The 13,749-nt window shown below is 35.5% G+C and overlaps 1 protein-coding gene across 4 annotated transcripts in view; it reads left to right on the forward strand.

Moving 5' to 3' along the window:
* Window positions 1-13,749, forward strand: part of MTBP (MDM2 binding protein) — a 78,218-nt gene that overhangs the window by 43,025 nt on the left and 21,444 nt on the right. For 3 of the 4 annotated variants that reach the window (XR_928318.3, NM_022045.5, XM_011516962.3), the window contains exons 13-14: window positions 2,020-2,127; window positions 8,950-9,111. Coding sequence is in view for 3 of the 4 variants with exons in the window: in NM_022045.5 (NP_071328.2) it covers window positions 2,020-2,127; window positions 8,950-9,111 (270 nt within the window). In the remaining variant the exon portion in view is untranslated. Of the gene's footprint in view, window positions 1-2,019; window positions 2,128-3,804; window positions 3,926-8,949; window positions 9,112-13,749 lie in introns of those variants that run through there. The other variant, XM_011516963.3, reaches the window with a different exon arrangement.

Here is a 13,749-nt window from a genome sequence, read left to right on the forward strand (position 1 = left end):
AAACTCCATTCTCTTTCATTAATTTACCTTTTATTTAAAACATATTATGACATATTTTTACAATTTAATGTGCAAAGAGCAAATTGCTTTTACATTATACCTAGTAAAGTTTAGTAGATCAGCCTTCAATTCTAAAAATGAAATTTTTAGTATTTTCCACTTTAAATACATATATTTTGCTATATTTCCCATTTTCATTTATATCGTCTGAAGCCACATGTTCTATTTTATTGCCCATCTTTCCCTCTTCTTCCCAGGCTTTATTATTTAGGTTATTGATTGCTGCATGACAAACTACCCCAAATTTGGCTTAAAAATAGGAGTTTATTATTATCTCTCGTGGTCCTGTGGGTTGAATGAGCTCAGTTGGATGTTTCTATTTTGAGGTCCTCCATATGATTACAGTCACATACAACTGTGGCTCCAGTCATTTGAAGATTCCACAGGACTTGATGTCTAAGATAGTTTCTTCACACCCATGTTTGGTGCCTGGGCTAGGATGACTGGAACAGATGAGGTCTGATTTTCTCTTCACAGGCGCTTTCCTCACAGCTAGCTTGGGCTTCCTTACAATATCATGGTGTTAGGGCAGACTGACTTCTTTTTTTTTTTTTGAGACAGAGTCTTCCTCTGTCACCAGGCTAGAGTGCAGTGGTGCAATCTTCGCTCACTGCAACCTCTGCCTCCCAGGTTCGAGCAATTCTCCTGCCTCAGCCTCCCAAGTAGCTGGGACTACAGGTGTGCACCACCATGCCCAGCTAATTTGTGTATTTTTAGTAGAGACAGGGTTTCACCATGTTGGACAGGATGGTCTCGATCTCTTGACCTCGTGATCTGCCTGCCTCGGCCTCCCAAAGTGCTGGGATTACAGGCGTGATCCACTGCGCCCGGCCTAGGCTGACTTCTTATATGGTTGCTGACTTAGAGCAATTGTTCTGTGAAGCTACAAGGCTTTCTGTTTCCTAGCTAGAAGTCATTCAGTGTCACGTTTACGTTACATTATTTGTTACATAGTGTGAAGCATGTCCAATAATTAGCAGTCTTAAGGGAGGACTGCCACAGCGTGGAGAATAGGGAAGATCATCACTATGCCAGCCACCAGTAACGGGAGTCCAAATACATCTTTATGTTGCCCCATGGGCTACTATTTAGGTCCACCATGTACTGGTTACCAATTTGTCCTAGTCCGGTGTGACAGAACACACTCACATGCAAGTTATATGAAGCAGATTTATTACTTACAGATAGGCAGCAAGGAACAAAAGAAGCCTAGGATCTGTTGTGAGCCAGGCCCCCAAGGCTCACGAAAGCTTCCCAGGGCAGATGGTGTCTTGACTGCATGTACGCCATTTGCACCACAGCTAAGGGACCCCAAAAGGCAGCCTGACCTGGCTTCTATATTTCAGGGGCCATGTGACTCATTGGGCAACGCTTTGAAGGACATCCTGCTTTTAGGGGACAGAGGAAAAAAACCCAAGCTATCCTGGGCAGTTCCTCCCTATTTCAAGATAGTACATTTCCAGTGCATTCTGCAGTTATTCTGAGTAAAATGGGCATGAAGAATGGGGAGAGAGACACGGCTAAGGCTATCATGGGACCATCCAGCACATTTATCTAGGTTGGATTCATTGTGGAGGGGACTGCACAAAAAGGAATAACAGGAGATGTGGTTCATTCAATGGCTTTTGGGGGTATCTTTACAGACTAGCTACCATTCCCTATCTGTGATTTCTGATCAGGTAGAAGAAAATGTGATTCAGGGAATTCTACTTTGCTATCTAAATTCCCTCAATTTAAAAATCAGGTCAATGTTTAAAATGCAAAATAATTGAGTATGCTTATTTTCTGCTGCTTAATTATTATTATTATTTACTTTGAAATATGTAAGGTCGAGAGAGGTGAGTGATTGACTTTTATTTTTTGTTAAATCCTTGCTATAACACATTTCCCAGGAACTGAGTACTAATTGTTGGCAAAGGGCATCATTAATGTTGACCTTTTTTTTTTCTTATTTCTCAGGTTTTCCTTTTGACTTATTATCACTTCCACATTTTTCTGGGGAGCAGATTGTACAGAGAGAGAAACAGTTAGCTAATGTTCAAGTTTTAGCTTTGGAAGAATGCCTAAGTAAGTAACAATTTGTGTATTTTATCCTACCCTAAAAATGTTGACTTGTTTGGACATAAGCTACCTTTATTTGCACACTTTTTCATATATAGTTTATCTTTTAGTTATGCTACTTAATTATAGAACTATTTTTGAAAGCAATGATGTAGAGTAGAAGAGATATTTTCACTAGATTCAGAATATTTCTGTTTATTTGTACATCACTGTTAACATTTGTAAAAGTATTTCAACAGGCAAATTTTGTATTTCAAAATTTGTTTTTAATTGTATGCTAGAGAAGGTATGTAAGTTTTATTTTTCTATGTATAACTCTTGATAAAATATCTTTTTATATATTTTTGTAGCGGAAGTTGGGTGCTACAAATAGGAAAAAATGCAAGTCTTAGGGAAATTAATGTGTTACCTTGAGCATTGATTCTTAGAGTTTAATAATGATCATCAATAATAAGTAAGAACATTTCATGTACTAAGTGACATTGGCATAGATTTATCTTATTCAGAAAAGAGTCATAATTTCACATTTTTTCTCTTTTACAGTTAATTTGGCTATCAGTCTTATTTTTTAATACAAATTTTAAGCATTCATTTGTTGCCTAATTGAACTTATTTATGGTTATGTAATTTCTAAGAAATTGATTCAAATTGTGAGTTCTCCTTAGTTGTATGTAGAAAAAAAGTTATTCGAATTATATATTACATATATTATAAAATAAGAACTATCATTCTTTTCTTTAAAAACGTATTTAAAAATTGTGAATTCAGTAGCCTACCTATTCAATAGAAGATAATTTTAGAATAGTTGGTCTCAATTATTCATGTAAAGATTGCAAACTTTTTCAATTGTAAAAATCCAGGGTAATTGTTTAGTCTTGAGCTCCTCTAACCATTGGTGTGTTGTTTTTTTTAACCACGAAAATGATGTTTGCTCAAGGAAGGTGTAATTAGAAAGGCAAATCATTTTTAATAAAGTGTAGTACATGCTATAACCAACAAATACATAAATACATACACACACATATATACTGAAATACCAGTATTGTTATGGTTATAAAATGTTTATTTCAGACATCAGCCAGCTGTATTATTCATTTTTTAACTTTGCTCTATTCCTGCCAAAAACCCGTCAGGCCCTGATTTCCTTGCCATATGCCTCTGGCAGCTTTTTATAACTCAGTTCCTTCAACATCTCCATTGATTCATCTTCACCTCTGTTCCTCACCTTTCCAAACACAAAAACTATCAGAAGAGCAGGGACCTCTCTAAAGCTGGTGCATCTCTTCTTTGTGAAAGGAGAAGACTTAACCCCAAAAGGGCCATCCCTCCTGGTTGTGTGGGAAGGGAAATATGACAGCTATAACTAGGTTGCTGCCTAGAGGTGTGAGTGAAAAGTTCAACAGAGTTGGTGAGAGGGCAGGAGAGAGTACAGAAATGCTAAAAATAAAAAAAATTAAAAAAATAAAAAATCGCAGGGATGCCACTAGACTGGGCAAAGAGTAAGGTGGGAACCTGAAACTGAAGACAACCTTAGAGCTAGTTGCTGCTAGAGACACTGGCTCTGGGTATGTCCATGAAATGGCCAATTTGCGATCAGAAGCATTAAATCTTGATTCAGATAAATGATCCAGTTAATCTATTTATGATGAAAATACTTACTGAACAAATCTCTTCTCTACCCAGAGAGTTAATACTGGATTAAAAACTTGGAGACAAAGATGCATCTGTTTAGAATGCCTGTGTCTCAAAAGGCATTTGCAGAGGCATTTGCAGAGGCAAACGACAGCAAAAGAAAGTTTCCAATGTAAGCATGTCTTAAGTGTCTACTTCAGTGATTTGCAAATAAGTGAAGTGTGAATATAAAAGTACTTAAAGTAATGCAGTTAACTTATTTGTACATGATAAAAAGTAAAGAATATAATGGGAACAGCTCTCTTTGGAAAAAAAAATAGTGGTTCAATATCCATACAGAGATTATAGTGTTTACAGAAAAACAAAATTTGTTCAAAAAGATTTCCTCAAATTATCAACAAAACATGGGGTAGGCTTGTTACTCTTTTTCCACTATTTCTCTAATACTAAATTAGAAAGAATAGCTAGAAAAATTTGCACAAAAATTTACTCAAAAATGTACTCACTAATAACACTATTGAGGCACTTTGTTTTTTAAAATAACACGAAATAAAATTTGTTAGGGCTTATTTTTTAAAATTAGTTTATTTTCATTAATTTTATTTTGAAAATTACATCTAATACTATTTAATTAGAATGATATTTAAAATTTGTAAGCTTGTGACTTATATTTTACCAAATTTGTTGGTAATTTATGACTTTTTGTATTTGGAAATATTAAAAATCTTGTTTCACTGATTTTTCAAGAAAAGGCTGAAGAATGCTGAACAATTTTTAAATAAAAGACTGTTCAGTATGATGCAAGATAAGTATGAAAACAGCAGTATTATCATTTTGCTCCAGTATTGCAGTCTCTACTCTGAGCTCCCTACATCTTTGTTAAATTTATAAAACACAGTGCAAAGCTTATGCTTGACCTGCTGATTCCTTTGGATGTTCTGCTTCTACATTTTTCTTTAATAAATCCTTAGTTATTACTAGCTTTCTTAGGAAAATAGCATTCTTATGCTAACTCATTTTTAGACTTTAGTCCAATGTTTTTCTCTCAAATATTTATCTGCCACTTATATGCAAACTCATTTGTGTGAAGACTATGTTTTACCTAGGTAAATTATCCTGCTCATAACTTGTAAACTTTATCTGTTTTCTGTCTCCATTTCTTAATCATTAAGGTCAATATGGATTCTTACTCTCTTCTTCAAATTGTAATATAATTGACAGGTTTAATAAATATAGGTCAGGTTCAGGTTCAGATTTGAGTGTGTGTGTGTATGTGTGTGTGGGGGTGTATATATATAATTTTTTTTTTTTTGAGACAGAATTTTGCTCTGTCACCCAGGCTGGAGTGCAGTGGCATGATCTTGGCCCACTGCAACTTCCACCTCCCAAGTTCAAGTGATTCTTGTTCTTCAGCCTCCCAAGTAGCTAGCATTACAGGCATGTACCACCACGCCAGGCTAATTTTTGTATTTTTAGTAGAGATGAAGTTTCTTCATGTTGGCCAGGCTGGTCTCGAACTCTGGACCTCAGGTGATCCACCCGCTTCGGCCTCCCAAAGTGCTGGGATTACAGGAGTGAGCCAACACACCCGGCCAGATTTGAGTATATTTTTAACATTAATAAAAACATAGGGGCTAATTTCTGAAGCAGATTACTGCGTACATCTTCCAGATAAAACCAAACCATCGGTAACTTTTTGTCTTAGAATGGCTCCCAGCAGATTGTGCACAAAAAGACAATGAACCTTATGATTTTCTCACTAAGAGGATGTAATAGAGGCAGAATATATTACAGCTCTCATTTTACTGTTACTAATATTCTTGATTGTGGAAGGAATGTTAGTTATCTTGGGTCAGATTTGGAAGGACCCTACCAATGTCCACATTGGTGATGCAGGATTTTACAGAGGCTTGTATCATGAAGCTGATGTTCTAAAGTAGAACCTCGACATTGGTTGCCTCCTTCTTATTCTACTCCCTTGCATTATTTATGTGCTGACCTCAGGTAGTGTAATGTAATAATGCTTTAATCCTCTGTGTCTAAGGACACAGTACAGTGCTTTTTAGGCAGTAAGCTCTTAAAATTAATAAATGTGCGTTTTGTTGAATTCTCTATGAACTTCTAGGTTAGTATTTTATTGTGGAAGAAAATGTTACTAGTCTAGAAGTGTTTTAAAATGGACTATTTTTATCAAAGTGATACATGGATATAGTTTGAAAAATCAAGTGATACTGAAAAAGCTTCAAGTGGCAAACAGCAATGCACTACCCATGCCTCCCCATCTTTCAGTCCCTGTGTTTATAGACAGCTATCCTCAGCTCTTCCAGGTGGACCCCTATACAAATAATGTACGTATGCTGCTATTTCTTGATTTACTAGTTTCAGGCATTATCTTAACATCTAACTATGGAAGATAAAAACTTCACTTTCCCACATAATCCTCACTTTCTCTTTCTGCTTCTTCAAGTGAAGTCATGAATTTTGGTTAAATCAGTGGTTGGCTTTAATATTATTATAATTTTATAAATAAGTTTACTGTTGAGCCATGTAATAAATGATGATGATCAGATCTCTCTTATATAATTCTTTGTTTCTCTTATGGTTGATAATCACCTTATTTTAAATTTGCCTACTCTTCTGTATAGACAGAACATTGTTATGTTTTTCCAGAGGCTCCAACATTTCTGCTGCACTCCTATCATTAACATTCATTGTGTATTCAAATACATCAGTTCCTTTTTATTTCTCTATTGTTTTCTTTCCTGGAGTGTTTCATATTTTGCTCGACTATGGACTGATTGCTTATATCTTGCTAATATCTTGAAGATTTCCCTTTCCTCTTTTCTTCTTTCAGAATGTTCTTTTTCCTAGACCCCTTATTCTCCTTTTTCTTGGATTATGCCTTTGTTTGGTTGGTGCACTTCTTCCAGTCACTTTTTGAACAAAAGTTCATGGAGCATAAATTTTTTGAGTTCTTGCATGTCTGAAAATTTATTTACTTCACTAATAAAATTCTAGGTTAAAAATCATTTTCCCTCGGAATTTCAATGATACTACTTCATTGTCTTCTGCTTTGCTATGTTTCTGTTGCGAAGTCAAATATAATTCCTATTCTTTGTGGTAATCTAATTTTGGTTTGTTTGGTTTTTACCCACTTTCTGGAAACTTTGTCTCCAGAATCATTGTCTCTAGAAGGTTTACTCTGAGTCACACTGTGTTTATCTTTCCCATCTTCCCCACCAGCCCCATTTATTGAACTGTGTAGTTGATTGGCAATTTAAATGGGAGAGTCATATCTTGAAATCTGAATTTTTTTTTATCTTTTTAATAATTTTCTTCCTCCCATTCTCTCTCTCTCTTTCTCTCTCTGGAGCTCTGGAGCTCTTACTAGATATTGACTTTTCTGGACAGAATGCCTGATTTCCATTCCTAGTTTCATATTACTATGTTTTTGTTCTAGTTTTGGGGGGATATCTTCCATTTTATTTTACAGCTCTTCTATGGAATTTTTGAAATTTGATGTTTCGTGTGCTTAATTTTAGAGTCATTTTTTGTTCATTGATTTTTTTTTCTTTATCAAAGCATCCTGTACTTATTTCATGGGTGCAGTATCTTCTCATTTGTCTATGAGAAAATTATAGCAAACTTTGTTTAGCTTTCTACAATGCTTTTGTTTCTGCTGGACTCCCTTTTTTCTGTTTGTTTGCCTTAGTCTCTCTTTTGGATGCTTTTTAGTTTGGGATTCCAATGAATAATACCCACTTCTCCCCCCCAACATTTGAACCAACTGAAAAATAAGTGTAAGAAATATACAGATGGAGAGAAATTATAGATGAAAGCTGTACTAAAGGATATGGCTTTTTAGATCTATGGCCAAGTTGGCCTTCTTATACATACACCCAGCATCGAATTTTGCCACTGAATGGCTGTCAGAGCTAGGCAACTGCAGACCAACCCTGCAGCAGAAGTCTGCAGAGAAAATACATCCTGAAGACTTGCTCACTCAGATGAAAGTCAGAAGAATCTATCAGAGCATGCTTTGTTCATGACTAGCTCAGTGAGTGATGGGAAGGAAGAGGGGAGCTGAAAGTGTTAACTGAATCAAATCTTTGCACAGGGAAATAAAGAGCTGCCTCTCCCCCTCAACACCTTTCCTTAAATGTCTGGAGATTCTTTTGTTTCCATCCTATTTTGAAATGGAAGTTTTGTATGCTTACTTCTAAAGTAATATCTGTCAAGCTTCACTATAGTATGGTGAAGTGACAATTCAACATTTTGTTCATGAGCTTCTACCCCTAACTCCACCCCTTGCTATCTAGAGTTCTTTTCTCTGACAGCATTCAGTTTAACCAAAGGAGAATCCTCTGATATTTCCAGTGGGGCATTTGTGGATGTTCACTTTCTGGTATCAAAGCTTGGAGTCCAACCTTTCAATGAATAGATTTTTCCTTAATCCCTTGGTTTTAACACCAGCCTCAATACTATCTTTTCGTATACCTGATGTTCCATACAAAAAAAAAAAAAGAAAAAAAAATGCAAGCAGTGTTGCCTATCTAATAGGAATAGCTTGCATAGGGGAAGGACCTGCAGTTCTGACTTCTTGTGCTATATCCAGTCCTGTTTCAGTCCAGCATCTCACCACCAGCTCTTATACTCCTCGGTAGTGCCTCTCTACAGGCATCCAAGGTGGCTCTTCCTCTGCTTTGCAGACTCCGTTACCACTCGGTCATTTATGTCTTCCAAAATTTGTTGAAAAATGTCATTATTTATCATTCCTTCTTTTGTTCTCCCTTTTTATTTCTTTGCTGTGATTTTAGGTTTTGAGAAGAAGAAACAGAAGTGGCCAAGCTACCATATTTAACTGAAAGTCTAACAGGTTTTATTTCTACATAACCATGAACATAAGACCATTTTAATGCTCTGCAATATATTTCTGAAGGCTTTAGTAAACCTGCCTTTATCTGTTATCAACTTATAGTATCAATGAATTACTTCTGTTTATCTCACATAACTGGAAATTCTCCCATTATCTACAAATAGGATTAAAGTGAAAGAAGGCCTACAATCCTGAAAACAGGAATGTTGATTTACTAGAGAAATTCACTTGTTTTACTTCTGAAAATATTTTCCACAAAAGACTAGTAGATGAGCTCCAGAGAATACAAAATAAGTCAATTGTATTGATTTGTCTTATAGAAAGACGAAAGTTGGCAAAGCAGCCTGAAACAGTTTCTGTTGCTGAACTCAAAAGTCTGTTAGTACTCACAAGGAAACACTTTTTAGATTATTTTGATGCTGTGATTCCTAAAATGATTCTAAGAAAGATGGACAAAATTAAAACCTTCAATATATTAAATGGTAAGTTTTTTATTACTTTAAATTTTAGTTCGTGTGTGTGTGGCAACTATGACATTTATTATTAAAACTTATAAAATGTATTGGTCAAATCAAAATGTATTTCACAAATTTAAATAATAATAGATACTTATATAGATACAAGTATGTATGTATATGTGATGAACTGTATTACTCATTATTTAAACATTATAAATTTTCTAGTAACTTTTTTCATTAAGTATGTTCAGTGTAATTGTTTTTGGGCAGAGGAAGAAGCACTTTAAGATGATGCCTCTCTTTAGTCTTACTAAGCTGCTGAAATGTGTGAATTTCTATTAAGCTACATTTCCATAAAGTGTGGAAAGCAAAATCTACATAGTAAATTTAATAGAGGTAAAAGTCCATATGATAAGATGATGCATATTTAACATTCAATAGGGGAGGAACAGTCAGACTTCACTGAGACAGCTGGAAATCATTTCGTTATTTAGTTGTATTTCTTTCCGCTTTCCTGAGTTCCAGTGTTGTGATGAATTTGAATAACCTTGTTTAAGGACACAGGCTGTGGAGCTAAATGGTCAGGGTTCAAATCTCACTTTTGTTACTTGCTAACCAAATGTCTTTAGGCAAGTTATTCAACTCTTTGCCTGTTTCGTCATGTTTAAAATGGGAATAATAATATAACCCACTTACTAGGATTATTGTGAGGATTAGTAGGTTATTGTGAGGATTGAATGAGTTGATACCTGTAAAACACTTAGAACACAAGTACCAAAAAAGATGTTATTTGTTTTATCATTATCATCACCATCGCATATCAGTACCCAAGTTAAATAGCATACAGAGTTATCTGAAAGGTGCTGGAGACATTTTTAGATTACTTGTAAATGGGGCATGTGTTCAATAAGTGAGAGACCATAGCTCCATGGTTATAGCATGGACTCTGGAGCAAGACTAGCAGCTTACTTGCTGTGTGACCTTGGGCATGTTTTCTGATCTTTGTGCCTCTGCTTCTTTATCTTTAAATTAGGGATGACATAGGTAGTTATGAAGATTAAATTAATTATTCCTAAATTGCTTAGGCAGTTGCCTAGTATAAAGTAAGTGCTGGTTAAATAAATATGAATTTTGAGGAGAGAACTACAAGTAGGGTAGAATAGTCATGAAGGCTGATTAGGAGCCAAGGAAGTTGATGTAGGTCTTGAATGATGCATAAGATCTGGATAGAGGGAAGATAAGATTTGCCAGGTAGAAGCACCATATTCAGGGTCATGGAGGTAAGAAAAGGCAAACTGAGATCAAGAGAGAGATTGGCTTACCAGAGGATGTGTATGGGAGATAAGGGTTGAAAGATAGGAAGGGCTCAAATAATTGCTAGGGCTTTTATATAAGTTTAAGGGTATGTATCTTAGGGTTACCTGTACAAAGGATACTTGACACACTGAGCTGCAGGAGAGCTCATCTTAAAATCAAAAAGGTTTGAGCAAAGGATGAACACAATCTACAGTCAGATTATGTCACTCCTTTGCCCAGACCTTCTTGATTGCTTCTAATTGCACATAGAATGCATCATCCTTCATATGGTTTGTAAAAACCTTAAATGGTATCTGGCTTCATACTTATTCTAGTACCAGTACATTTCTGTTTCCTTTTTACCACAGGAAGTCCTTTCTTTCCTTGGACATGTTACATTTCTTTCTTTCTGCAGTGTCCTTTGCCTGGAATTCTTTTCTTCCAGCCTTTAGCTGATTAACTGACGATCGTTCTTCAGATCTTGATTTAAATGTAACTTTCTCAAAGAGGCTTTCCCAGACCTTCCCCAGTTTCAGTTGTTTTATGTTATACTTTCTCCCTGTAATTTTTTTTTCAAATTATTGGATCACATTTTAAGATTGCATTTATTGAATAAATGAAAGAAACTTGGAAGATTTTTAGAAACTGAACTGAAATTAGACAGGCTATGCATTTGAACATGACTCCTAAGAATGAAGTTGTGATTTTTAACATCTTTTGTTGCTTTGATTTGAAGAAATACATCTACTTGTAAATTACATAATGAAAGAAACACTAAGGCCAATTAGATATCATATTCTGACGACTCATTTGCAAGCATGCATATTAGGAGTTATTAATAATTAATAAAGTTATTTAATCTGCTTATTTTTTGGTAAAAACTCTAGCATGTATAACAAGTGACAAGACAGTATGTAGAAAATGGCTAATATAACGATTTATTTACACATTGTCACAAAGTTGCTAAAGACTTTGACAAAGTCAAATGTGATATCTGAACTCATAATACAATAACTACAATAACTGTCTCCTTTGCATGGGCCCATTGGACACATCAACACACTGCATAAGTAAGTTTTCCAGGTAATTCTATCAGATCGTTATTTTATTACTTCAAACACTTAAAAAGGATCTTCTGGCATTTATTTATAATTCTTGCTTTATTAATTTGCAATATAACATTTTCTTTGTGATTTATTCATATTTAAGTATGTAAGGTTATAATGGCCTCAATTCATTAACCACATAATGTCATCTCTTTTTGTTTGCTGTGATTTGTGATTTTATAGGTCAGTTTTCCCTATTTCCCTGTTGTGTTGGTTCTATTGTTCTATTTCTGTGTTTCCTGTAAAATGATTTTTTTTTTAAAGCAGTGTTCTTGGTTTCTCAGAGAGCCTTTGTGCTTTTTGGCTGTCAGCATAGCCCAGCGTTTTGACTGCCACATAAATGAAATGTGTTTTATTTTATTGTAAGAATTGTATTAAATGATTCCACAAAAGACATGAGACATATGAATGTTTTCCCACCTATTTCTTAATATTTAGCCTATGTAATTTATTTTTTAGGTTGTATATTATATTGTAATATTTAGGAACAATTTAATGTTTACTGTTATTTAAGATTGCTTATATTCTTTTATGAACTCATGGCATGAAGCTGTGCAGAAATGCAAGTGATTTTTTTCTTTATGCTTTTAGTGGAAAGCCGCATGAACATTCAGCAGCATGTTATTTTATTATAAAGCTCATTACTTTTTAAAATAGCATTTCACCACCTTTACTAAAAAATGTGAAGTGTTGTATTTGGATGGTTAGATAGGGCAGTTCAATATAGGTATTGAAAATATTTTAAACTATTCAAGGTTAAATAGTTTAATAAGTAAAAGGAAAATAAGATGCAGTTTGCATTAATTTTCATTTATGTTTCTTGTTTAAAAATTCCTTTAACAGGCCAGGCGTGGTGGCTCACGCCTATAATCCCAGCACTTTGGGAGGCCAAGGTGGATGGATCACTTGAGGCCAGATGTTCGAGACCAACCTGGCCAACATGGTGAACCCTTTTCTCTACTAAAAATACAAAAATAGGCCAGGCGCGGTGGCTCACACCTGTAATCCCAGCACTTTGGGAGGCCGAGGTGGGTGGATCACGAGGTCAGGAGATCGAGACCATCCTGGCCAACATGGTGAAACCCCGTCCCTACTGAAAATACAAAAAATTAGCCGGGCGTGGTGGTGCGTGCCTGTAGTCCCAGCTACTCTGGAGGCTGAGGCAGGAGAATGGCGTGAACCTGGGAGGCGGAGCTTGCAGTGAGCCGAGATTGCGCCACTGCACTCCAGCCTGGGTGACAGAGTGAAACTCCATCTCAAAAAAAAAAAAAAAAAAAAAATTAGCCGGGCGTGGTGGCGGGCACCTGTAGTCCCAGCTACTCGGGAGGCTGAGCCAGGAGAATGGCGTGAACCTGGGAGGCGGAGCTTGCAGTGAGCGGAGATTGGGCCAGTGCACTCCAGCCTGGGCGACAGCGAGACTCCGTCTCAAAAACATAAATAAATAAAAATAAAATAAAAATACAAAAATAAGCTGGGCATAGTGGCATGTACCTGTAATCCCAGCTACTTGGGAGCCTGAGGCAGGAGAATTGCTTGAACCCAGGAGGCAGAGGTTGCAGTGAGCTGAGATCACACCACTGCACTCCAGCCTGGGCGACAGAGTGAGACTCTTGTCTCTGGAAAAAGAAAAAAAAAAAAAAATTCCTTTACCAAATCATTACTTTCTCAGTCCTCTCAAAAATATAAAATGAATATTTTTGTTAATGTTGATAGTTAATCAAATAGCTAATGTTAATAATTTTCAATGAGTTTATTAGAACAATGTTCAAAACAATTCTAAAACCAGATAGTTTTGCAATCCAAAAAGTAGCACAGTTAGTAATTTTGCCAGTGTTAAAACAGTTTGAATATATTAATACTATTTATAATAATTTCTAATAAGAACAGAAACTGTCCCTTTAGGTTTTCATTGAAAATCCCAATATTAACAGCAATCTCAATATAGTTCACTGCAGTGTATTATCTAGAAAGATAAGCACACTCTTACACATAATATTTGATTAGTAGAAAATAACACTGCATGTTAGTGATTTGAAGGTGTGTATGTTTAACCATCTTGGTTTCTGCGAGAGAACATCAGAACATCATAACTTATCTATTATTATTGTAGTTTTGAGAATAAGGTAATCTCTTTTTAAACAATGTAATTTTTTGGTCTATTTGTGCTAATTCCTATTTCTAGTATGAAAATCACACAGAATATCCAATATATTCTCTACAGAGTTATCTTCTTTTCATTTAGAACTGTTTTCACCCAAAA

Source organism: Homo sapiens, chromosome 8 (genome assembly GCF_000001405.40).
Source record: "Homo sapiens chromosome 8, GRCh38.p14 Primary Assembly".
In the NCBI taxonomy this organism is placed as follows: Eukaryota; Metazoa; Chordata; class Mammalia; order Primates; family Hominidae; genus Homo; species Homo sapiens.